Genomic DNA, 25,409 nt, shown 5'->3' on the forward strand with positions numbered 1-25,409 from the left:
TGATGTCAAACTGAGCAGTACTGAGTCCCAGAGCATATCACACCTATTAGCGAGCACTTTGATGCCGTTCACATCACAATCCACAAAAACAGCCTTGCATCCAGCACACTGATTGCCAGCTTAGCAATTAGAAAAGGTGATTGTCCTTCTTTTGTGGGTGGAAAATGAAGGCTTTAGGCTTAGAGAAAAGCTCAAGTGATTTCGCTGGGCCAGGACTAGGCTCAGTTGTAACCGGGGCCAAGCTTGCCCTCAGTATTTAAAGTCTCACCTGTGCCCTTTCCCCCTGATCTTACCCACCTCCTGCTATGGCGCCCATCCCATGCCACGCTCACTGGCCTGCAGGATCCTCAAATGTGCTCCTCAATTTTTCCTACCAAAACTTTGTATTTGATTCTTTATCCACACTCTATCTCATGGAGTTATTGGCATTTTAAAAGGGATCCAAGTTTGAAAATAGAGAGATGACGTTCCAATGGTAGGACTTCAGGCATTGATGGTCAGACAGTAGAAATTTGGAGAGTGGAAAGCTGGCACTGGGGTCTTAAGGGCAGCCCCTATAGCGACTGTTTGCAAAGCTGACCTGAAAGAGACAGGGAGTCCCCAGGGGACAAGATAGATTAGATCCTATGGTCCCACAGTCCTCCTCAAGCTCTTAATGGTATTTGGTTAGAATTTCTAACTCTTCAAATCTTGTTCATTCATTTAATTTAACTTTCCTTCTATTCTTCCAACTGCCAGGTAGGTGAGAGAAATAGATGCCATCATCTTGATTGCCTGAGAAGGAAACAGGCAAAGTGGGCTTTAAAGACAGAAAATAACTGCTTTTCCCCAACTTGGGGCCTCCCCATCCTGCAATTTTGCACTGACTGACAGAATTCCTGCGGGGAAAACTGAGGCATCTTGCTTCTCATGTAAACCTTGCCTGTCTCCTCATAAATATTTTATTTCCCAAAAGCCATTCCTACAAATTGCCTTATCATTTGCCAAGGATCTAGACCATCTGCCAAAGCAAGTTCACACATCCCTCCTTGCTGATAACTGGGTTTATCTGTTTGCATTTCTGTGTATCGTCGGTTAGTCTGGCTTATCTACTTATGAGATTGTGTGTTCTTTAACACACTGGACACCATATGGCCCCCAGCAGAGACAGCAGTCCTGTTGCCTACCTATGGGCACTATTTGTGTGCCTTTCAACCCTGACTATAAAATATCAGGTCCCTAGTACATCTAAAATTTGTTTGGACTGGGAAGATTTTACAAAATTAGAATCAAAAATTTAGTTCTTCCCGCCCCTATTTTTAAAGCAATGTGTACAATATGCATACAGAATAAATAAATAACAAATTATTTACACAGTGAAACTAAATGAACTATAGCTACAAGCAACATCACCAAATCTTACTAACCTAATATTCATTGACAAAAGCAAATCCCAGGAGACTACATAGACTATCACATTGTTTCTAAATTTCAAAAACACAACTAAACATCATTGAGGAGTCCCCCGAGCCACACATGTACACACTTACGCTCAGACTCAATACATCTGGGCTTGGCTGGTATTTTCCTTTCATTTCCTGGCACCGAATTCACAGGTGGATAGAACTGGTCTCATCAGGCTCCCTGGCTCCAGACTTCCTCAGCTCCTGGGTGCTACTCTTTTCCCCACAGACCCCTCCCCACTTCCTTAGTGTCCTGGCTGAGGCTGAAGCAACTTAGCATTCACCTGGCCCCCACCCCCTTCCTCCCACTCTCACCTGCTCTGTCAGAAAGAGGAGATGGTGCTTTCTCCATAGCTCTCTTCTTCCTGTGGTCTCCCTATTCTAACAAACACCAAAAGACTTTGGGTTTCTGAGAATCGCGCTCCTTGGTCTCTTAGTGCCATGGGCCTGTTAGAGCATCCCACTAATTTATTCAGAGGTTGCTGTATCCTGCATCTTCACAAAATCTTGCTGTCCCTTCCACACTCGACCATGCCTCAGTTGAAGCTTGAGCAATAATTGGAAAGGTCCCCAGAGGCCACTCCATTGAGTGAGCATTGGGCCAAATCTGGACCCTCCATCATGGCAGCCTAGGATCTTGCAGCTCGATGACTTTTGCAGGCAAATTCACAGATACATCCCCTTCAGTCTCTTTCCATTCATTTCCAGTCTCTTCATCTGTTTCCACTTTTCAGACACCCAAAGTTCTTCAATGATAACTATTGCCACATACATCATTCCCTAGGGGCCAACTATGTGCCCATTTCTGTGCTAAACACTCTATCTCATTTCATCAGACTCAGGACACTTCTCCATTTCTTGATTAATTCTGTGAGGTCTTGTTTTCCCCTTCAAATCTTAGGAATGATGTGCATTTCAGAAACAAAGTCCAAGGGGATTTTTCAGGATGATGCCTTAAAATGATCTCATGATCACTACTATTTACTCCAAAATCAGGATTTAAGATTCTTTTGAAACTCTGAAATGTTTCTGGACAACAGAAAATAATCATCTGCTTCCAGTCTTCCCTGAGGACAAGCCAGCAGGAAACAGCTTTAACTTGTTGCATAAATTAATGAGATTAGAAGAAATAAAGCATTTCCTGACAATGAGAACTATAAAAAAAATGCACATAACAACTGAGGCACGTGGAGATTCATAATTGAGGCACGTGGAGATTCCCTGGAATAAGAATACTGAAGTCCTCAATGAGGCAAAGTCTCATCTATTATATTTTCTCTTGAAATTATTATAATTTCAGGTTCCTTTCAGAAGCCCAAGTAATAAAATAAGAATTCTCCTCTCTTCCAACTTCTGTGGCTTTGGCTTCCTTTTGTTGATTCACCACTTCCATTTATTTGCTCTTCCACTACCAGAGTCCCTTGAATCTGAACGACTAAGCCTGATTTTCTTTGGGGGAAAATTTGTCTAGGTTTTACTTCCCCCCTTTAAGACATGACATGTGTGCACACATGCACATGTGTGTGTGAGCCATTCTAATTCTTTATTTCTTCAGTGAAAAACATACACTTCATCTCTCCCTTCAAGTATTGCATGAACTCGATGAACTTAAGCCTTCTAAAGATAATGTGTTCAATTAACAGGCGATTTGATAAGTATGCTAGGAAATGCCATGTACTCCAAGTCCTCAGAGAAGCTCTGGTTAGCTGGCTGCGGTGGGATCTGCTTTTGTGGAGTTTCTTCCCATGAGGGTATCAGTCAAGAGAACCTGGAACCCAAGAGGCTTGTCCCAGGCAAGGAGGCTTGGATTCCTCCCGGGACCTGCTCCTGCGATCCAGAACCAGAGCATGCAATTGCTGGTGAGGGAAAGGCAGGATTCGGTCTTCATCCTTCATGGAGAGGTGTGTTCTTGGAAGTACACCTTCTGGGAGGAAAATGAGTTTTAGTAAATAAAGTTATTTTCTCCAAAAAGAGTTTAAGTTCCTTGGGCTTCAATAGGGGTTAAATAATTACTAGCTGGATTGGTGGTTTTAATTTTTAGTTCAGGAAATCCGATGTTATCTGATGTGATGGAAGGAAACAAAAACTCTGCAAGGAGAATACACATTGTCCCAAAGAGAAACTTGTTTCTAACATCTTCCCTAAGATGGCAAACGGGTCCAAGACTTTGTGCGTGTGTGTGTGTGTGTGTCCCCACCTTTAAACTTCAAACCCCAGATCTCTGTTGCTTACTCATCCAGTGTGGATTACACTACCAGCAAAACATCCCAGGAAGGAGTCCAGGGTGGCCGCCCACAGTTAGGAGAGAACCCAGAACGGAACGACGGACTTGTTTGCTTTCTTGCCCCTGACTCTCCCCGTCCTCCCTGGGAGGGTTGGGGATGTGAACTAATGACTTCTGCCTCTTTCGGACCGCCTTTGAGGCTCCAGAGCCTCACCTTACTTTCCCACGGAGAGGGAGGCCACAGGCTCCTTCAGCAGTCGCCGAGCAGAGTCCTGGGCCGGGAGCGCGGGGGAGGGAGCGAGCGGAACTGCGCCTAGGAGGCCGAGGGAGGAGGCGCTCCGCAGACCCTGGCGCGCCGCGGAGAAGCTCAAACTTTGGCAGGGTAAGGATTTTTAGGGGCTCTTGAGCTGGAATTTTTTGGGGGGCGCCGGGAGGTGTGCTGGGGCCGCAGACCCCATACAGGAGGTAAGTTAGAGAACCACACGCAGGGGAGGGATGCTGCTGCTTCCAGGGGCGGGCGCGGCGCTGTCCGCAGCCCCCGGTGCTGAAACGGGCCGCGGGCTGGAGAGAAAGTGAAAAAGGATCGGCTACGGCCTCGGCTCCCACTCCCCGGCTCCCATACCCCTCCAGTCCAGTTCAAAGGACAGGAAGCCCTCCCCGTGCTCCCCAAGCCGATCGCACCCCCTTTTACTCACGTCCCACAGCCGCGCTGGGCCGAGCCCGCTGAGCCGTCGGGGCGGGAGGCAGAAGGAGCAGGGCTGGCTCCCGCTGGGGACGGGTAGGGCTTGCAGCCGCGACCCCACCCCATACATTTCCTCCTGTCACGCTGTCCCCGGACCGCCAGTCCGGGAAGGACCCACTTCCCCGGCTCCAAGTCGGGAGCGGGCGCCGCGTCTTCTCGAGTCCGCGCCGCGCCGGGGGAGGTTGAGTCAGTGGCCTGGAGGGAGCAGGGCCGGGGGAAGGCAGCGGCGAAGGACTGCCCCCCAACCCAGGGGACTATTTTCCCTTGGGGATTCAAAGAGAAAGGTAGGCTGAGGAGGAGGCGAGAATTAAAATTCTTTTAGGAGTGCGCGGTTACTTTTTTTAATGATAAAATCACACCCGGGATCTCGGACGCCCGGGGCTTAGTGCTCGGTGATGGAGGAGAAGGGGCGGCGGGCTCTCTGATCCTCTGCAATCCCCTAACCGGATAAAGGCGCCGGGCTCCCAGCCGTCAGGCTTTTCTCTTTAGCTCAGCCCGCGGCCCCTCCCGACGCCCCTGGGGGCCTTGGCGCGCAGGCCCTCGCAGTCCCGCAACCCCGGGCCGGGTGATTCATTTTTCTCCCTGTGTAATCTCCCTACTGAGCGGCGCAGCTGGGACTTTAACTTCGGCCCTCTGCAGCGGGGGTCTCCGGTTGGCGCGGCGCGTGAGGGAGGATGAATGGCGCTGGAACCTAGAGGACCTGGAGCCGGCGCCCCGGCCTCTTTGGCCTGAACCAGGTGCCTCTGACACGCAGTCCGCCGGCTCAGGCCTCGCCGGAAGCTGGCGGGAGCAGTCCCTTGCAGCGAAGCCCGGCACCCCGACGGCAGACGCTCCCCATCACATCTTCCAAAGGGGCGAGGCTGGGATCAGCAGGAATGGCACCCACCCGGGTTCAGACTCCATCCCGGAGTGGACAGCTCGGTGCCCCTAACATTATGCACTGTCCGCCACCCCCTCCCCCCAACACATACACACTTTCATTCATGAAAACCAGCAAGAATAGTGCTGTCTGGGCACGGAGTCCAATGTACAGCGTGCGTTCACGCTGAGAATTCATGGGGGACGCGGGTGGTTGGGCCGGGAGAGGAGAGATGGTCACTTGTGTGTGGTATCCACCAACTGGGTCTTCTACGCCAGAGTCCCAGTTGTAGAAAAGTCGGCCAGGTCAGAGGACCCAGATGGGATTTCACTAAGCTGGTGGGAGCTTCTTTGCGTTCTTTGGGGTAGGGGGAAGGACAGGAACTCCCCCTGCTTCGCACCAATGCCCAAACACCGCACTTCCTCTTCAGCCTCGGTTCAGCCACAGAGAGGGGCCTCCTCCTGTGTAGATGCCCGGAGGGGAGGAGCGGTGGTTCTTGGGGTGACTGGCTGGTGGAGGCAGGATCTTAATCACTTTAGCTGGGACTTTGGCCGTGACTACGTGTGCACTTGCCTTTGATGCTCCTGTTTCTATGTCTTTTCTGTCCTCATTCACCATCTGCTAGTGGTGGCTGCCTCTGATTAATATTGAGGTTGCCATGGCGACCAGTCTCCAGTCGCCATGGTACCCAGAAGGTAAACAGTTGGAAGCTACTCAGGCTCTTTCCAGCTCTGGCCGCTAGTTTCCCTAGGGAGTGGGGCGGGGACGGCAGTGACCAGGTTCCAGAACCCTTCTCCGTCCCGCCCTCCCCTTCCTCCCTCATTCCCACAGCGTCCTGCTCACCTGAAACCCCTGCTAATCCCCCACCAACCACTGTGGCCTCAAGGTTGAGATGGGCCATGCTTTTTTCTCTACTGAGGCTGGGGGTAAACAGTTTTCTCTCTGACCTAATGCATTTTGGTAACACCCTGAATATTTCTGAGTACAAAGGACAAGGCTCAGTCTGGTGGGAGAAACAAAATTTTAAACAGACACAGTCCCTGCCCTCTGGGACCTCACAGTGTAGTGTGGCAGACAAACCCTTGTGCAACCTACCAGGTGGCCTGCATTCCGGGTGTAAATGGAGGTGATAACAGAGCCCTGAGAGTTGAGAGAGGTGGGAGTGACTGACTCCTGGTCAGGGTAGGCCTCCCCAGCAAGGTTATGTTGCAACTGAAACTTGAAATCAACTGGCCAGCAAGAGAGGAAAATCTCTCTAGGCAGAAGCAAGGATGTGTGGATTAGTCAGGAGAGAGTAAGGCCCTGCTGTGGTGACGTATAGACTTGGAATATCTTGGTGGCTTCTCCCTTTGCTTATGCAATGTCTGATTTTTTGGGGAGTCCTGCATCATGGGGGGAGTCCACTTGCCAGAACCCGTCACTCAGCCTTCACCTGGCCTGAAAGGGAGGCTGGAAAATGCAGGAGGCACAAGATGGGCTTTGGTGAGCACTGTCTCTGCCAGTAGGTGGGGGCAAAAAAAAAACCAAATGTACAATACACATAAGGGAAGGGTGAGTAATTTGGCTTAGATGAGCATCCAGTTTAGGCTCACTTGATCCAAATTATGAAAAGTCTTGACCATCAGGCTAAGAAATGGAGACTGCGTGCTGGAGAAAATAGGCACCTCTAAAAGCTTCTGAGAAGAGTGACATAATTAGAACTACCTTTCATAAAGATTCTGGGGTCACTATGGAAGGTTCATTCATTTACACATTTATTCATTCTATACTCATTGAGCACCTCCTTAGTGCCAGAGAATGGATGGATTGTAGGAGTGACAGCCTGAAGATGGGAGATGAGCAAAGATAACTATTTCAGCCATCCTGGGGAGAGAGAAAGGCCTGGATCAAGGCAGGAACAGAGCTCAAAGAGACCAGAAGCAACCTCTGTTCTGATTCCACACTTATACACCTGTCTAGTCTATACACTAGACTAGCACAGGGTGAGTGCTCAGTACATTTCTGAATTAGTAAATAAAAGAGTTGGAGGGGATGGAGGAGAGAGATAGCTGTTGCTGTGACTGATGCTGGATCTGGGGCAGTAAGGGAGAGGGAGGAGTGAAAGCTCACACAGTCTTAGCTGGGTAGTCAGTTGGCTCTGGGTGTTGCTCATGGCATTAACCAAGACAGTACTGCAGGGAGGAAGAGCATGCTTGACAGTAGCTGGGGGAGACAGTGATGCCATTCAGAATAGTTTTGCTCCAAGGAAAACTCTTTCCTGAACTCGGCCTGCACCCGAGAACTCATCTAATCCCCAGAGTGCTTCTTTTGTCCTCCTTTGCAGGATTCATACATTTCACCTAGAATTATACTAATACAGTGTAGGGGTTAAAGTTAAACCGGCTTCTGCCCCCAGGCTCTGCCACTGGGTGACTTTGAACCAAGGTATTTAATCATTCTGAGTCTCAGCTTCTTGGTGTATACCTTGGCAGTAGTAATAATTATAATGCCTTCCTCATCGAGTTGTTGTGGGGATTAAATGAAGTAATTGAAATGAAATCCTCAGCTCAGTGCCTGACATATCGTAAGTGCTCAAAGTTAGATATGGACATCTTATTACCTCCTTATAAAATAAAAGCAATGTGTTACTTTTATAATCACACCACAAAAGTTAATTAAGAAAAAAAACACTTTGCCTTCCATGCTTGCAATTAGGTTTGGAGCATCTATAGAGTTGGCTATGGAGAGCTCTGTTTCCCCAGCTCTGGTAAGGTCCGAAAAGCATTTTCATCCTCTTGCAATCTCAACCTGAACAGCTGAATCTTTTTACAAAGCAGCAATTCCAAAACTGAGCACACTCAGAGCTGAGGAACTCAGAGTCCCATTAATTCTGAATCATCTCTGCAGAGACCAGGACACTTTCTAGGCATGAGACAAGCCCCTGCCTCTTGGTTAAGAAACATAATTGATCATCTTGATCCAATTTCAGTGCATTTTCTTTTACTCCAAATTTCTTCCTGTTCTTAAGAACAATCTTAACTTTCTTCTCAGACAGGAATTGAAACTTTGCAGCTGACATTTGGAAGCTTCCATTTGCTCTTGTTATAAAAATGCTGGAGTTCAGAGAGAGATAACTCTACCTTCCTGTCATGAGAAAGTTTCTTTGGGAAACAAGACTCAACTCTCCCAACTCAGACTCGTTATCTCCATCATGGTGGAGGGACCTTGATGGGTTTGGGACAGCCACCATAGAGAGGAGGAATTGGATTCTGACCTTCATCTCCCTTCATCACCTCACAGCTCAACCCTGAGCACAACAGGATACACCCTTGTTGTCTAAGACTTGAACTGTCTTTTTGGGACCTTTCTTGGGCAGATGGAGGAAGCTTTAATACTTATTGGTCCCAGAAGTTACTTTGTTTCTTGAGAGGCAAGAGCTTAAAAGCTTGCAGGCTCTACAATTAGATTGCCTGTTGAAGTCCTGGCTGTGTGAACTGTGTACCTCGGTTTGCTCCTCTGTAAAATGGGGATGATATGGTTTCGCTCTGTCACCACCCAAATCTCATCTTGAATTCCCACGTGTTGTGGGAGGGACCCAGTGGGAGGTAATTGAATCATCGGGGCAGGCCTTTCCCATGCTGTTCTCATGATAGTGAATAAGTCTCATGAGATCTGATGGCTTTATAAGGGGGAGCGTCCCTGCACAAGCTCTCTCTCTGCCTGCTGCCATCCATGTAAGATGTGACTGGCTCCTCCTTCCACCATGATTGTGAGGCCTCCCCAGCCATGTGGAACTGTAAATCCATTAAACCTCTTTCTTTTGTAAATTACCCATTCTCGGGTATGTCTTTATCAGCAGCATGAAAATGGACTAATACAGGGGATAAGAATAATATTTACCTCATAAGGTTATTGAAAAGATAAAATGAGTTGATACACGTAAAAAGTTATAGAGCAGTGACTGGTATAATGTAAGCCCTCAAAAATGTGATGGTCATTATTATTAATGTCATATTTTGGCATTTCTCCCCTTTATTATGTTTCATGAGTTTCTTGTAGCTGATATTGTGAGTTTTGCATTTTAAAAAGTGTTTTGATTTTAGATTTAAAATTATTTCTTTTTAGATATAATTTTCATGCCACAAATGTCACCCATTTAAAATGCACATTTCACTGGTTTTTAGTATATTTATAGTTGTGCAACCATCACCACATTATAATCTTAGAACTTTTCAACACTGTCAAAAGGGACCCCGTATCCATTAGCAGTCATTCCTCTTTCTCCTTCTCTCCACTCCTGCTCCAGGCAACCTCTACTCTACTTTCTGCCTTAATGGATTTGCCTATTCTGGACATTTCATGTACATGAAATTATATATTATGTGACTCTTTTTGTCTGGCTTCTTCCACTTAGCATAATATTTTCAGGGTTCACCCATGTTGTAGCATGTATCACTGTTTTATTCTTTCCTATCGCCAAATAAGATTCCATCTGAATAACATTCCATTATGTGGACATACTACATTTTGTTTATCCATTTATCGGTGGATAGGCCCTAATAAATGATTGTCGTTTCCACTTAGGGCTACTGTAAATAATGCTGCTATGAACATTCATGTACAAGTTGTTGTGTGGACATGTTTTTATTTCTCTTAGGTATAAGCTTAGCAGTGGAATTCCTGGATCACATGGTAACTCATGTTTAACATTTTGAGGAACTGCCCAGCTGTTCTCCAAAGTGGCTACATCATTTACATTCCCACCAGCAATGAATGAGGCTTCCAGTTTTTCCACATCACATTGTGGAAAATGGTTAATTGTATGTATCATCTTGCCTGGGATACAGGGTGCCCAGATAAAACATTATTTCTGGGGGTGTCTGTGAGCGAGTTTCCAGATGAGATTAGTATTTGAATCCATGGACTGGGTAAAGCAGATTGCCCTCCCCAGTGTTGGTGGCCACTATTCAATCCATTGCGAGCCCGGGTAGGATAAAATGTAGAAGAAAGGGGAATTCATTCTTTGAGCTGGGACATCATCAGTTTCCTGCCCTCTATTGGCCCTCTGGTTCTCAGAACTGCACCACTGGCTTTTCTGGTCTCCAACTTACAGACAGCAGCTCATGGGCTTCTCAGCCTCTAATTCTTTATAATAAATCATATGTATATACAGTTGACCCTTGAGCAATGCAGGGATTGGGGTGCTGATCCCCTATGCAGTCAAAAATCCACATATAACTCTTTTGGCTTCTTCAAAACTGATTTACTAATAGGCTTCTGTTGACCACAAGCCTCACCTATAACATAAATGGCCAATTAACACATATTTTGTAAGTTCTATGTATTACAGGCTGTATTCTTACAATAGATTAAGCAAGAAAAAATGGGGTTTTTCCATTTGTCACATATCTCCAAAATTTTTTCCAATATATTTATTGAAAGAAAAACATATAGAAGTGGACGTGTACAGTTCAAACCCATGCTGTTTAAGGATCAATGGTATATATATCCTATTGGTTCTGTTTCCATGGAGAACCCTAACACACTCACTAACACTTGTTATGGTAATATTAACATTTTATAGTTCTTTTTCTTTCTGTTTTTGAAGCTCTGTAATAATTTTTATTTCCTCCACCTAGGTTCATATTCACACACAAAATATGAGAGGACACTCAAGTATAATATTTGCATTGTAGGGTTTTATTATATCATGGAACTTCTGGAATGGAAGGACCTTTTATAGCCATCCTAGTCAGTGTTGAGTACAGTCATCTCTCAGTATCTGAGGAGCATTTGTTCCAGGACCTACCCACAAATACCAAAATTTAACAGAAGCTGAAGTCACTTATGCAAAATGGCATAGTATTTGCATTAGGTTAGTACAAAAGTAATTGTGGTTTTTGCCATTACCAATCTAATAAATAACCTACTGTATTAGTCCAGTCTTATATTGCTATAAAGAAATACCTGAGAACTTGGTAATTTATAAAGAAAAGAGGTTTACTCAGCTCATAGTTCTGCAGATGGTACAGGAAGCATTATGCTGGCATCTGCTCAGCTTCTTGGGAAGCCTCAGGAAACTTACAATCATGGTGGAAGCCTGAGGGGGAGCATGCACATCATGGCAGGAGTAGGGGCAAGTGGGGGAGGTGTCACACACTTGTAAATGACCAGAACTCATGAGAACTCACTCACTGTCATCAGAACAGCACCAAGGCAGTGGTGCTAAATAATTCATGAGAAATCCACCACTATGAGCCAATTACTCCCACAAGGCTCCACCTCCAACATTGGGGATTACAACAGAACATGAGATTTGGGAGGGGACATAGATCCAAACCATATCACCTACGTACAACCTCCTGTGTACTGTACTTTAAGTCATCTCTAGATTACTTATAGTAGTACCTAATACAGTGTAAATGCTATGTAAATAGTTTGCACTGTATTGTTTTTATTTGTTTTATTTTTATTGTTGTATTGTTATTCTTTATTGTTTTGGTTTTTTTCAAATATTTTCAATCTGTGATTGGTTGAATCTGCAGATGCAGAACCTGCAGATGAGAGGGCCAACTGTAGTAAGTCATTGTGCTTTTGATTTGTATTTCCTCATGACTAAATACGTGGAGAATGTTAGCATGTGCTTCTTAGCCATTCTGTATCTTCTTCAGATAAATGTCTATTCAAATCCTTTGCCTGCTTTTTAATTGAGTTATTTGACTTTTGTTATTGAGTTATAAGAGTTCTTTATATCTTGTGGATATATGCCAATATATGTCTTAAAAATATATTCTGCAATCCCAGCACTTTGGGAGGCTGAAGCAGAAGGATCGCTTGAGCCTAGGAGTTTGAGACCAGCCTGGGAAACATAGAGAGACACCATCTCTACAAAAAATTTAAAATATAGCTAGGCATGGTGGTGTGCACCTGTGGTCCCAGCTACTTAGGAGGCTAAAGTTGGAGGCTGGCTTGAGCCCAGGAGGTCAAGGCTGCAGTGAGCGGTAATCAAACCACTGTGCTGTAGCCTGGGTGACACAGTGAGACTCTGTCTCTAAAGAAATAAAAAATGAAAATAGTTTCTCCCATTCTTTAGATTGCTTTTTTACTTTGTTGATGGCATACTTTGATACACAAAGGCATTTTTATTTTGATGCAGTCCAATCTATTTTTTCTTTTATCACTTTCACCATTCACCGTGCTGTTAACTGTGGTTGTGTCATGGATACCCTTTGTTAGGTTGAGGAAGTTTCCTTATACTCCTAGTTTTTAAATTATTTTCACCATGAAAGCATGTTGGATTTTTGCCAAATGCATTTTCTGTGTTCATGAGATGATTATGAGGTCTTTGCCCTTTATTCTATTAGGAGGGAGTATTACATTGATTGAGTTTGGGTAAGTCTATTTTGCATTTCTGGGATAAACATCACTTGGTTTCCCTGTGAAATCCTTTTGTATGTTGCTGGATATAGTTTACTAGTATTTTGTTGAGAACTTTTGCATATTAATCTGAGTTTCGAAGTGTCCTTTCATGTAAATTCTGATATTCAAATTGTTTTCACTTTTCTTATACAGTTTCCAAAAATATTAACATTATATAGTTTTCCTTTCTGTTTTTGAAGCTCTGGAATGTTTTTATTTTTTCCACATAGGTTCACATTCACACATAAAATATAAGAGGACCCTCAGGTGTAATATTTGCATATAGTGTTTTGCTCCATCATGGAACTTCTAGAATTGAAGGACTTTTAATAATCAACTGGGCCTATGATTTTCAACTCTGTTCCACAGTTTCTTAAGATGTTCTGCACATATTTTAAGTTTTTTAAAAGGTATATTTAAATATTTTTAAAACTCTTATATAAAGATAGCACTGACATGTCTTCTGTACCAAACTTTAATATATTGACTATCATGGCCAAAATTAACTTGTGTCCCACTAATTGTCTTTATCAAAGTTATCAAATACTTTTAAATAAAATACAATAAGTAAATGCTTTATGCATCAGGGTTTTGTGGATTATTTCATTTTAAATAAGGCCATTTCTATTATTAGATGAAAAAATTAAAGTGCTGGTCACTTACCCACATTGGAGGCTAAGCTGGGAAGAGAAGCCATCTCTCCTTCCTCTCAGGCCAGTGCCCTTAACCACTTATACTGCCTTTCAAATGTGATTTGAGTCAAACAAAAGATATTTCACTCAGGGTTTTCTCTCTCCATAAGCCTAGGACTCTGCTTCAAATCACCAGGCCTCTTTGCCGGCTGTAGGAATGTCAGTGTGGTGCCCACGTCAGCTCTGTGGGGTGGTTCACAGGTCTCAGGGTAATTAAGTGCTTCAGCACTGGAGAATTTCCCTTCTACCCTGCAGTTCTCAAGCAGGATGGGGGCATAAGGGAAAGGCAATTGGAAGAGTATTTTGGAAAAGTGTTTTAGAAAAGTTTCAAAGTATGTAGACCCTGGGGGAGTTCTTGACTTATCTTTGGAGTTTAATTTGATGAAGCGAGCCTGCCCAGCCTCACATTTACTGATAACTTGCTGAGTGCATTTGTCCAGGGTGATGCTGAGAAGGTTGAGTTTTGGAGGACTGAAATGAATCAGACTCAGACAGAGTCTGAGAAGATTACTTCTGAGAAGTAAGATAGAAGACCCCAGTGATCAGTCTCTGCTGGAGAAAACAGTGGCCTGGGCTAAGTATGCCTGTCCATCAAGACTCTGTACTCTGTCCTGATTGAGATTTCGGCTTGTTTGCCATGGCTTGTGTCCAGACTCGGCACCTCACTAATTGGACCCGCCAAACCCTGGCTGAATAGAGTCTCCTCCCCAAGGATGATGATCATTCAGAACGACTTCCAGTGGACTTACAGTGCATCCATACAGGGCTATGGACACCTCTGTGTTGTCTCTCCATTGTCAGCTGCATTCAGACTTGGAAAATGGTAATGTTTCAAACCACACAAATTGCACCAGGATTAGTTTTGATGTTCAGGTCACAATAAAAAAGAAGACAGAGAACAAACAAACTGAGTGTAAATGGTCAGTTAGTCATCATGAATGGGGAGCAAGGTTTTCTTTCGGAAGCACGTTCAGTCTAGAGCAAGGGGCTCGAAATGTTTGGCCCTCCTTTGTAGTATGTTTGCTCTCTCATAAATTCCCACTTATAAATTCCAAGTGGAATGGAAATTTTCAGTGTGACTCATTCACACAATCATTGTGAGGATCAAATGAGTAAATATGCACTTAAAGTTATTAGAACAGTAACAGGCAAAGATTAAACAATAAATACGTGGCTGTTATTATCAGTGTCGTCATGATGATTCCTCACCAGTTCCTCCATTTATCACACGCTCTACTACCTACTAAATGTATGTGCCGGGTGTTTGAAGAATAAAATGTTTTTTAGGTAAAAGGAGGCAGTTCTTGCCTTTAAGGCTTTTGGAGTCAGTAAAGGAACAAGAAAAGTACAAGAATAACTGGAATACAGTGAGCTGCGTTAAATGCCTGACTACTCAGGCGTCCGGGCCAATGACAGTGGAGAGAGCCCAGGATGAGCACTGGAGTGCAAAAGTCACAGCTGAATCCTTGAAGGTACACAGCAAAATGTGATTGTAAGTGGTACATGTAACACTGTAATGGTAAATGTTGAATAGTGCTAAGTAAATGTGATGGCTTCTCACCTGGGAAGCCTCCTTAATGGTCCCTAAGGCAGAATTAAGGATTTCCTCCCCATCCTGCATTGCACCCATCGTGCCTCTACCTGTATTTCAACACCATTTGCACTACCTTACCCTCACTGTTTAACACGCCTGTTTTCCCCATGCAAATGTTGTGCTCTCAATGGCAGAGATCTGTCTTCCTCATCTTCACAATTCTCAGGACCAGGTATAGTGCCTGGGACATCATTGGCAAGGAGTCAGTAAGGGGGCTGGTGGCAGGGGGACATGCTAGATTTAGTCATGTTGTAAAGAAAATGGAAATTGCCTGAAATGGCATGTTCTTAGCTCTCCAGTTAAGTCCTAGAAAATACACATTCATTTGGGAGATGCTCAAAAACCACTCCTAGACTCACGCCTGGGATCCACTTCAAGGTCACCTTCACAGTTGCAGAATGCATCTTCTTGCTAGTTTTGAAAATTAAAATTCCATTTGTACATTTCCAATCTCCTGCAGTGCCTGTGATAAACAGAACAAGCCATAATGTGGATTTCAGAGTGAGACAGGCCCAGGGGTCCATTTCCTTATCTGCAAGATGAGCATCACTATTCCCTCTTGGGGTTACTGAGGATTCACGCGTGATGGATATGGAAGTGCCTCGCACCCAGGGGGCCCTGGCTAGATGGCAGCTTTCATTGTCCACAGAGCCTCAGGATCACTGATTGTGGTTTCATTATCTCATTGGTGAGTTCTACTCACAAAGAGTTTATCAAGGCAGGGCCAGATGTGAAAACACATGCAGTGGTTGGGTAATCTCTTAAGATGTCATGACTCAAAAACTGATAAATACAGGGAAATAATTGTTTATTCGGCCTTTCCTATAGGAATTGACCAATCAAATAATTAAGAGTAAAATTTTTTCTTTTAAAAATATTTCAGCTAATTGAGGAAGGAATGGTAGAATACCACCAACTTGCAACCTCTAATGAATTGATGGATCTAGCAAATGAACATCAACAGCTGCTAATGTCCCCCAGAGAAATATAAGATCTTATGTACCTTCTGATGGAAGAACAAAGAATCCCCTATGAAATTGTCATGCAAAAAAAAATTAATAAATTGACCAAGCTTCTGGGTACAGCTACCAGTAGTAGATAACATTTTAAAGTTGGAATTAGCAAAAATTCATACTGTAGTAAACTCCATTGGACAAATAATGAAATTTCTACACAAAGAGAAAAACTTTAGAGGTAAAAATACCAAGAAGATATAACAACCAATCAACAAGATTGGTTCCTTATTTGGTTCCTCCTGATTTTTTAATGTATTTTTTCAAAGACAACCATTTATGACACTTATGAGACAATAGGGAAAAAAGATCTTCTGAGTTATCTTAAACTTACATTTCCCTTTAGTGATGTACATTTTGCCCTGTCCTACTCCAACCATTGTTTTCCTGGATAAAGAACATAGAATTAAAAGGGAAACTTGGCTCACTCCTAAACCTTGAGGGACTTGGGTCAAGAGTACAAATGACCCACTTACTGTAGCCCAAATATCTAAAAGTTAAAGATTCTCTTAGCAGTGATACCCACTCCCCTCCAAAACAGAGCCTTGAACAGGGAATGCAGGCAGGCAGTTTATTTGGGGAGTGATTCCAAGGAACAGGAGTAGGGGTCTTGGAGAGGGCAAAAGGGAAAGAGGACAAGCCAACCCAGATGTCCATTATCAAACTGATCGCCACTCTGGGCAACCAGGGGTTCTCCAAGGAGCCAGGTAGAAAGTGTCTCAGAGCCACCTTCCTGAGGGATGGAAGAGTATATTCCCTCAGGCTCCTGCTTCTATTGGTCCAGGGTTGCCCCAAGGATGTTACCCCTTCAGCTTTTGCACATGTATCAGAACGGTGATGTGGTCTCAGCAAGTGTTTCCTGGGGGAAGTAAGGAAGCCCCCAAGGCAGAAGGCCCTAGAATCTGCAGTGTCACTGAGGCAAAGTACATGGGTTACCCAGCATGCAGCTGGTTGCCATAGCAATGGCTGGACTGAAAGGTGGGCAGGAAGGATGCGAGGTAGAGGACCAGAAATGACCATTACATGGACCAAGATAGCACACTGTTAAATCAAATGTGCCCACCCTCCTAAACTGGCAAATACACTGCATTACCACCTGGAGGCCAGGTTCAAACCGAGAGTACTCAGGCCCCTTGGAGTTGAGCCTGAGAGCAGGAAGTCATGAGGAGAGCTGATCTCTGGTTCCCTGCCCACAACCTGCCCCCTTCTGTCCCCAGCCCTAGGTCCACACCACGTCAAAGGGGCCTTGCACAGGAGGCCCTGCACACCTGTCTGTGGACGCCCTGGCCACATCTCCAGGCTCTGTCTCCCCCACCCCCCACAAACAGCTGCTCCTTGGCCATCCTTGGGCCTAGGGGAGTGCAAGCTGGTGCACTCAGGGAGATGGACCAGGGAAGAGTCCCAGGCAGGCTCTAGAACCAGTTGAAAGCCTCTTGGACAGAGAATCTGGGGGTTTGGGGCATTCAGACCATAGCTGGAGCAGGGGCAGGGTTCCCGGTGGGCATGGCCCCTTGATTCTATGGGCTTCTCGACCCTTTGGGAGGGATGTGGCTGGAGGAGGGCCAGCATGGGGTCCTTTAAAGCAGAGACCCCTCCTGCCCAGGCCTAAAGGCAATACCAGTTCCCTCAATGACTTTGCACTCTCAGGTTTTGGAGTCAGACAGATTTTTAGTCAATCCTGGCTCCGGCCTTCAGCAGCAACCTTAAGGAAATGACTCACCTGTCCAGTTTCTTCATTTGTAAGAGAGGGAGGGGGGCTGCTGTGAGGATTAAGTAAGGAAGTGTTGCACAGCACTCACCTGTGGCTGGCACCTAGTGGCCCTCAACAGGAGGCAGGTCTATGGGAGGACAGAGGTACTGCCTCCATGCAATGGCAGTGGGACCAGAGTTTGTGCCCAGGATAGAGAAAGCAGCTGAGGGGGCTGAAGGAAGGGGCACAGGCTGGAGACAATGCACTTTATTTGGTGTAATTTGCCTGGAAATGTACAAAGAAGAGTAATTCGATAGTTTTTCCACAGAGTCCCAAACTTCTTTGAGACTTGCTCTGCACCCCACTTGACTGTCAGCTCCTGGAGGACAGAGCTGCATATAGCTCTCTAATAAAGCCCCAGCTTCTAGCATATTGCCTGGCACATAGTAAGTGCTCAATTAAAAAGTGTTGAATGGACAATTTTGAATTGGATTTATTGCTTTTTTATCTAAAAACATATAAACATTCCATTTTAAAGTATTGAAAATAATGAGGCCGGGGGGAGGTGGGAGACAAGGATTTGGCCAAAGTCTGCATATACTAAGTCAAATAGGGTTGAGTCCTAATGTGGCTTCTGGACCTCACACGTTCTTTGGAAAGTTACATAACCTGTTATAAGCCTCCATTTCCTCATCTATGCAATGAAGACACTAATAGCATCCACCTCAGAGACTCTCATGTTAGAATAAACAATGATGTAAAAAGCTTAGCACATTGACTGGAATAAAATCAGATTTCAATATATTATAACTACTACTATTTGGATAACACACATGAATATGTGTGTTATTTTTATTTTTATTTTATTTTATTTTATTTTATTTATTTTATTTTATTTTTAGTTCTGGGGTACATGCGCAGGACGTGCAGGTTTGTTACATAGGTAAATGTGTGCCATGGTGGTTTGCTGCATCTATCAACCCATCTCTAGGTATTAAGGCCAGCATGCATTAGCTATTTATCCAGTTACTCTCCCTCCCTGCCACCCCTGGAGAGGCCCCAGTGTGTGTTGTTATTCCCCTCACTGTGTCCACCTGTTCTCATTGTTCAACTCCCACTTATAAGTGAGAACATGCAGTGTTTGGTTTTCTGCTTCCGAGTTAGTTTGCTGAGGATAATGGCTTCCAGCTCCATCCATGTCCCTGCAAAGGACATGATCTCATTCCTTTTTATGGCTGCATAGTATTCCATGGTGTATATGTACCACATTTTCTTTATCTAGTCTATCATTGATGGGCATTTGGGTTGATTCCATGTCTTTGCTATTGTGAATAGTGCCACAATGAACATATGCATGCCTGTATCTTTATAATAGAATAATTTATATTCTTTTGGGTATATAACCAGTAATGGGATTACTGGGTCAAATGGTATTTCTGGTTCTGGGTCTTTGAGGAATTGCCACACTGTCTTCCACATGGTTGAACTAACTTACACTCCCACCAACAGTGTAAAAGCGTTCCTGTTTCTCCACAGCCCCACAAGCAACTGTCCTTTTCTTGACTTTTTTTTTTTTTTTTTTTTTGAGACAGAGTCTTGCTCTGTCGCCCAGGCTGGAGTGCAGTGGCGCGATCTCGGCTCTCTGCAAGCTCCACCTCCCGAGCTCACACCATTCTCCTGCCTCAGCCTCCAGAGTAGCTGGGACTACAGGCGCCCGCCACCACCCCCAGAGAATTTTTTGTATTTTTAGTAGAGACAGGGTTTCACCGTGTTAGCCAGGATGGTCTCGATTTCCTGGCCTCGTGATCCACCTGCCTCGGCCTCCCAAAGTGCTGGGATTACAGGCGTGAGCCACCGCGCCCGGCCTTCTTGGCTTTTTAATAATCACCATTATGACTGGCATGAGATGGTATGTCATCGTGGTTTTGATTTGCATTTCCCTAATGATCAGTGACGTTAAGCTTTTTTTCATATGTTTATTAGCCACATAAATGTCTTCTTTTGAGAAGTGTCTTTTCATGTCCTTTGCCCACTTTTTTTTTTTTTTTTTTTTTTTGAGGCAGAGTTTTGCTCTTGTTGCCCAGGCTGGAGTGCAATGGCACTATCTCGGCTCACTGCAACCTCTGCCTCCCGGGTTCAAGTGATTCTCCTACCTCAGCCTCCCGAGTAGCTAGGATTACAGGCGCCTGCCACCACGCCCAGCTAATTATTTGTATTTTTAGTAGAGATGGGGTTTCACCATATTGGCCAGGCTGGTATCGAACTCCTGACCTCAGGTGATCCACCTGCCTCGGCCTCCCAAAGTGCTGGGATTACAGATGTGAACCACTACACCCGGCCTGCCCACTTTTTAATGTTGTTTTTTTTTTCTTGCAAATTCATTTAAGTTCCTTATAGATGCTGGATGTTAGACCTTTGCCAGATGGGTAGATTGCAAAAATTTTCTCCCATTCTGTAGGTTGTCTGTTCACTCTGATGATAGTTTCTTTTGCTGTGCAGAAGCACACCTGAAATTAATTAGATCCTGTTTGTCAATTTTTGCTTTTGTTGCAATTGCTTTTGATGTTTTTGTCATGAAGCCTTTGCCCGTGCCTGTCTTGAATGGTATTGCGTATATTTTCTTCTAGGGTTTTTACAGTTTGGGGTTTTACATTTAAGTCTCTAATCCATCTTGAGTTAATTTTTGTAAAAGGTGTAAGGAAGGGGTCCAGTTTCAATTTTCTGCATATGGCTAGCCAGTTCTCCCAGCACCATTTATTAAATAGGGAATCCTTTCCCCATTACTTGCTTTGGTCAGATTTGTTAAAGATCAGATGGTTGTAGATGTGTGGTCTTATTTCTGAGTTTTCTAGTCTGTTCCATTGGTCTATATCCCTATTTTTGTATCAGTACCATGCTGTTTTGGTTACTATAGTCTTATAGCATAGTTTGAAGTTGGGTACCATGATGCCTCCAGCTTTGTTCTTTTTGTTTAGGATTGTCTTGGCTATACAAGCTCTTTTTGGTTTCCATATGAATTTTAAAGTAGTTTTTTCTAATTCTGTGAAGAATGTCAATGGTAGTTTAATGGGAATAGCATTGAATCTATAAATTACTTCGGGAAGTATGGCCATTTTCATGATAATGATTTTTTTCCATCCATGAGCATGGAATGCTTTTCCATTTGTGTCCTCTCTGATTTCTTTGAGCAGTGGTTTGTAGTTCTCCTTGATAAGGTCCTTCACTTGCCTTACTAGCTATATTCCTAAGTATCTGACTCTCTTTGTAGAAATTTTGAGTGGAAATTCATTCATGATTTAGCTCTTTGCTTGTCTGTTGATGTATAGGAATGCTTGTGACTTTTGTATCCTGACACTTTGCTGAGGTTGCTTATCAGCTTAAGAAGCTTTTGGGCCAAGATGATGGGGTTTTCTAGATATAGGATCTAGAAGACATCCTTATCTTGTGTCAGTTTTCAAGGGGAATGCTTCCAGATTTTGCCCATTCAGTATGATATTGGATATGGGTTTGTCATAAATGGCTTTTATTATTTTGTTATTTCTTATTATTTTATTATTTTGAGGTATGTTCCATCAATACCTAGTACATTCCTATGTACATTCCTAGTACAATACCTATGTACATTCTGTTGTTTTCGGGTAGAGAGTTCTGTAGATATCTATCAGATCCACTTGATCCAGAGCTGACTTCAAGTCCTGAATATCCTTGTTAATTTTCTGTCTCGATGATCTGTCTAATATTGACAGTGGGGTGTTAAAGTCTCCCGCTGTTATTGTGTGGGAGTCTGCATCTCTTTGTAGGTCTCCAAGAACTTGTTTTATGAATCTAGGTGCTCCTTTATTGGGTGCATATATATTTAAAATAGTTAGCTCTTTATGTTGAATTGATACTTTTACCATTATGTAATGCCCTTCTGTGTTTTTTGATCTTTGTTGCTTTAAAGTCTGTTTTGTCAGGCTGGGTGTGGTGGCTCATGCCTGTAATCCCAGCACTTTGGAAGGCCAAGGTGGGCAGATCACTTGAGATCAGAAGTTCAAGACTAGCCTGGCCAACATGGTGAAACCTCATCTCTACTAAAAATACAAAAATTAGCCAGGCATGGTGGCATGGGCGTGTTATCCCAGCTACTAGGGAGACTGAGCTAGGAGAATCACTTGAACCCAGGAGGTAGAGGTTGCAGTGACCCGAGATTGCACCACTGCACTCCAGCCTGGGCAACAGAGCAAGACTCCATCTCAAAAATAAATAAATAAATAAATAAATAAAGTCTGTTTTGTCAGATACTAGGATTGCAACCCCTGCTTTTTTCTCCTTTCCATTTGCTTTGTAAATTTTCCTCCATCGCTTTATGTTGAGCCCATTTGTGTCTTTGCACCTGAGATGGGTTTCTTGAATACAGCACACTGATGGGTCTTGACTCCTTATCGAGCTTGCCATTCTGTGTCTTTTAATCAGGACATTTAGCCCATTTACATTTAAGGTTAATATAGTTGTGTATGAATTTGACCCTGTCATCATGATGTCAGGTGGTTATTTTGCAGGCTTGTTGAGGTTGCTGCTTCATAATATCGTTGGTCTTTGTATTTCAGTCTGTTTTTGTAGTGGCTGATAACAGTTTTTCCTTTCCATAGTTAGTGTTTCCTTCAGGAGCTCCTGCAAGTCCTGGTGCTGATGAATCCCCTCAGCATTTACTTGTCTGAAAAGGATTTTATTTCTCCTTTGCTTATGAAGTTTAGTTTGGCCAGATAGGAAATTCTGGGTTGCAAATTCTTTTCTTTAAGAGTATTGAATATTGGCCTCCAATCTCTTCTGGCTTGTAGGGTTTCTGGGGAGAGGTCCACTGTTAGTCTGATGGGCTTTCCTTTGTAGGTGACCTGGCCTTTCTCTCTGGCTGCCCTTAACATTTTTTTTTTTTCAGTTGGGGTCCTGCTCTGTCACCCAGGCTGAAGTGCAGTGGTGCAATCTCAGCTCACTGCAACCTCCGCCTCCCCGGTTCAAGCGATTCTCCTGCCTCAGCCTACTGAGGTCCAGTGGCTCGCTCCTATAATCCCAACACTTTGGGAAGCCGAGGCAGGCAAATCACTTGAAGTTAGGAGTTTGAGACCAGCCTGGCCAACATGGTGAAACCCTGTCTCTACTAAAAATACAAAAATTAGCTGGGCATGGTGGCATAAGCCTGTAATCCCTGCCCTTAACATTTTTTCCTTCATTTCAACCTTGGAGAATCTGATGATTATGTGTCTTGAGGTTGATCTTCTCATGGAGTACCTTATTGGAGTTCTCTGGATTTCCTGAATTTGAATGTTGGCTTGTCTTGCTAGGTTGGGGAGGTTCTCCTGGATGATACCCTGAAGTGTGTTTTCCAACTTGGTTCCATTCTACCCATCTCTTTCAGGTACCCCAATCAGTCATAGGTTCAGTCTTTTTACATAATCCTGTAGTTCTCAGAGGTTTTGTTCATTCTTTTTCATTTTTTTTTCCTCTAATCTTGTCTGCCTGTCTTATTTCAGCAAGATAGTCTTCAAGCTCTGAAATTCTTTCCTCTGCTTGGTCTATTTGGCCATTGATACTTGTGAAGTTCTCGTGTTGTGTTTTTCAGAACCATCAGGTCATTTATGTGGCTCTCTAAACTGGTTACTCTGGTTAACAGCTCCTGTAATGTTTTATCATGGTTCTTAGCTTCTTTGCATTGGGTTAGAACGTGCTCCTTTAGCTCAGCAAAGTTTGTTATTACCCACTTTCTGAAGCCTACTTCTGTCAGTTAATCCATCTCGGCCTCAGCCCAGTTCTGTGCCCTTGGTGGAGATGTGTTGTGATCATTTGGAGGAGAAGAGGCACTCTGGTTTTTTGAGTTTTCAGCATTTTTGGCAGATTCTTTCTCATCTTCATGGGTTTATCTTGTTTTGGTCTTTGAGGCTGCTGACATTTGGATGGGATTTTTGTGGAAACTTTTTAGTTGATGCTGTTGCTGTTGTTGCTTTGTTTATTTCTCAATAGTCAGACCCTTCTTTTGTAGGGCTGCTGCAGTTTGCTGGGGATCCTCTCCAGACCCCATTCACCTGGATCCCTCCTGCCCCTGGAGGTGTTACCAGTGGAGGCTGCAGAACAGCAAAGATGGCTGCCTGCTCCTTCATCCGGGAGATCCGTCTCAAAGGGGCGCTGACCTGATGCCGGCAAGAACGTGCCTGTTTAAGATTTCTGCTGACCCCTGTTGAGGGGTCTCACCCAGTCAGGAAGCACAGGATCAGGGACCCACTTAACAAAGCACTCTGGCTGACTCTTAGCAGAGGGCATGCGCTGCACTTGCGGGGGATCCCACTCATCCAGACTGCCCGATTCCTTAAAGCCAGCCAGGGGAGAGACCAAGTCCACTATTCAGTGGATACCACAGCAGCCCCTCCCCGCAAGGGGCTCCATCCCAGGGACATCCAGCCCCTGGCTGGGGTTGCTGAAATTCCAGCGGGGAGGCCCTGCCTGGTGAGGAGGGATGGGTCTGGGTTTAGCCTAAAGAGGCAGTCTGGCCACGATCTGCCACAGCCGCTATGGTGCACTGTGGGGAATTCCTCCTGGGCCCAAACTGCCCAGTCTCCACGACTCCAGCAGGGGAAAATGGCAGACTGGAACTCCAGTGATGGCGGCCACCCCTTTCCCCAGGAGCTCGGTAGTCTTAGGCAGTCTCCAGTGTAGAGGCCGCCAAGAATCTGCACAGCTCTGTGCTTGAGACCCAAGGCCCTGGTGGTGTGGGCTCACGAGGGAATCGCCTGATCTGTGGATAGCACAGATCCATGGAAAAAGCGTGGTTTCCTGGGTAGGGTAGCACAATCACTCACCGCCTCTTTTGGCTGAGAATGAGAGGTCCCCTTGCCCTGTGCCGCTCCCAGGTGGGCAGGCGCTCCACCCTGCTTGTCCTCACTCTCCTTGGGACTGCCTAGTCAGTCCCACTGAGAGAACCTGGACACCTCAGTTGCTGGTGCAGGATTCACTCACCATTTTCATTCTCCTTGGTGAGAACCTCTGACATCAGCTGTTTTTTTTCTTTTTTTTCTTTTTTTTTTTTTTTTATTGAGACAGAGTCTCACTGTGTCCCCCAGGCTGGAGGGCAGGAGTGCAGTGGCGCGATCTCGGCTCACCGCAAGCTCCGCCTCCCGGGTTCACACCATTCTCCTGCCTCAGCCTCCCGAGTAGCTGGGACTACAGGCACCCACCACCACGCCCGGCTAATTTTTTGTGTTTTTAGTAGAGACAGAGTTTCACCATGTTAGCCAGGATGGTCTCAATCTCCTAACCTTGTGATCCAGCCGCTTCGGCCTCCCAAAGTGCGGGGATTACGGGCGTGAGCTACCCCGCCCGGCTGACCTCAGCTGTTTCTAGTCAGCCATCTTGGTCCCTCCCCGGATTTATTACTTTTAATGAGTACAATTTCTTATGTTGGTCCTAAAGTTTTGCAGGCATCTCAAACTGGAATCATTCTCTTTCTCTAACGTGCTTCCCCCCTAGTTCCCTGTCTCAATGGGCAGGCAACACCCCCCATCACCCCAGCTGTTGGGGCACTGTGTTCAGCACCTCTTCCTCCCCACCCCTTATACCTAAATTGCCATGTCCTGGCAACTCTACCCACTTGCTATCACTACCACAAAGCTAGTTCAGGCAGTTGTTCTCTCTCCCCTAAGAAACTGTGGCAATTTTTTAGCTGCTCACCTCACAGGGAACTCATGTTCCCTGAATACATCCTCCCTGGTCTAGCCAGAGTGGCCT

At 44.8% G+C, this 25,409-nt stretch overlaps 1 protein-coding gene across 5 annotated transcripts in view, besides 1 other annotated feature; it reads left to right on the forward strand.

Annotated features, from left to right (window-relative positions):
- Positions 3,970–25,409, forward strand: part of CNGA3 (cyclic nucleotide gated channel subunit alpha 3) — a 52,146-nt gene continuing 30,706 nt past the window's right edge. For 4 of the 5 annotated variants that reach the window (XM_047443222.1, XM_006712243.3, NM_001298.3 and 1 more), the window contains exon 1: positions 3,970–4,048. The gene's annotated coding sequence lies outside the window, so the exon portion shown is untranslated. Of the gene's footprint in view, positions 4,132–25,409 lie in introns of all 5 variants that reach the window. The other variant, XM_011510554.3, reaches the window with a different exon arrangement.
- Positions 4,470–4,981: an enhancer, noted in NCBI's record as "H3K27ac-H3K4me1 hESC enhancer chr2:98963419-98963930 (GRCh37/hg19 assembly coordinates)". NCBI's record gives its function as "activates a minimal SCP1, AML or CMV promoter by ChIP-STARR-seq in primed H9 embryonic stem cells {active_cell/tissue: H9 hESC(primed)}" and the evidence as "EXISTENCE:reporter gene assay evidence [ECO:0000049][PMID:30033119]".

This window comes from Homo sapiens, chromosome 2 (assembly GCF_000001405.40).
Source record: "Homo sapiens chromosome 2, GRCh38.p14 Primary Assembly".
Taxonomy (NCBI): domain Eukaryota; kingdom Metazoa; phylum Chordata; class Mammalia; order Primates; family Hominidae; genus Homo; species Homo sapiens.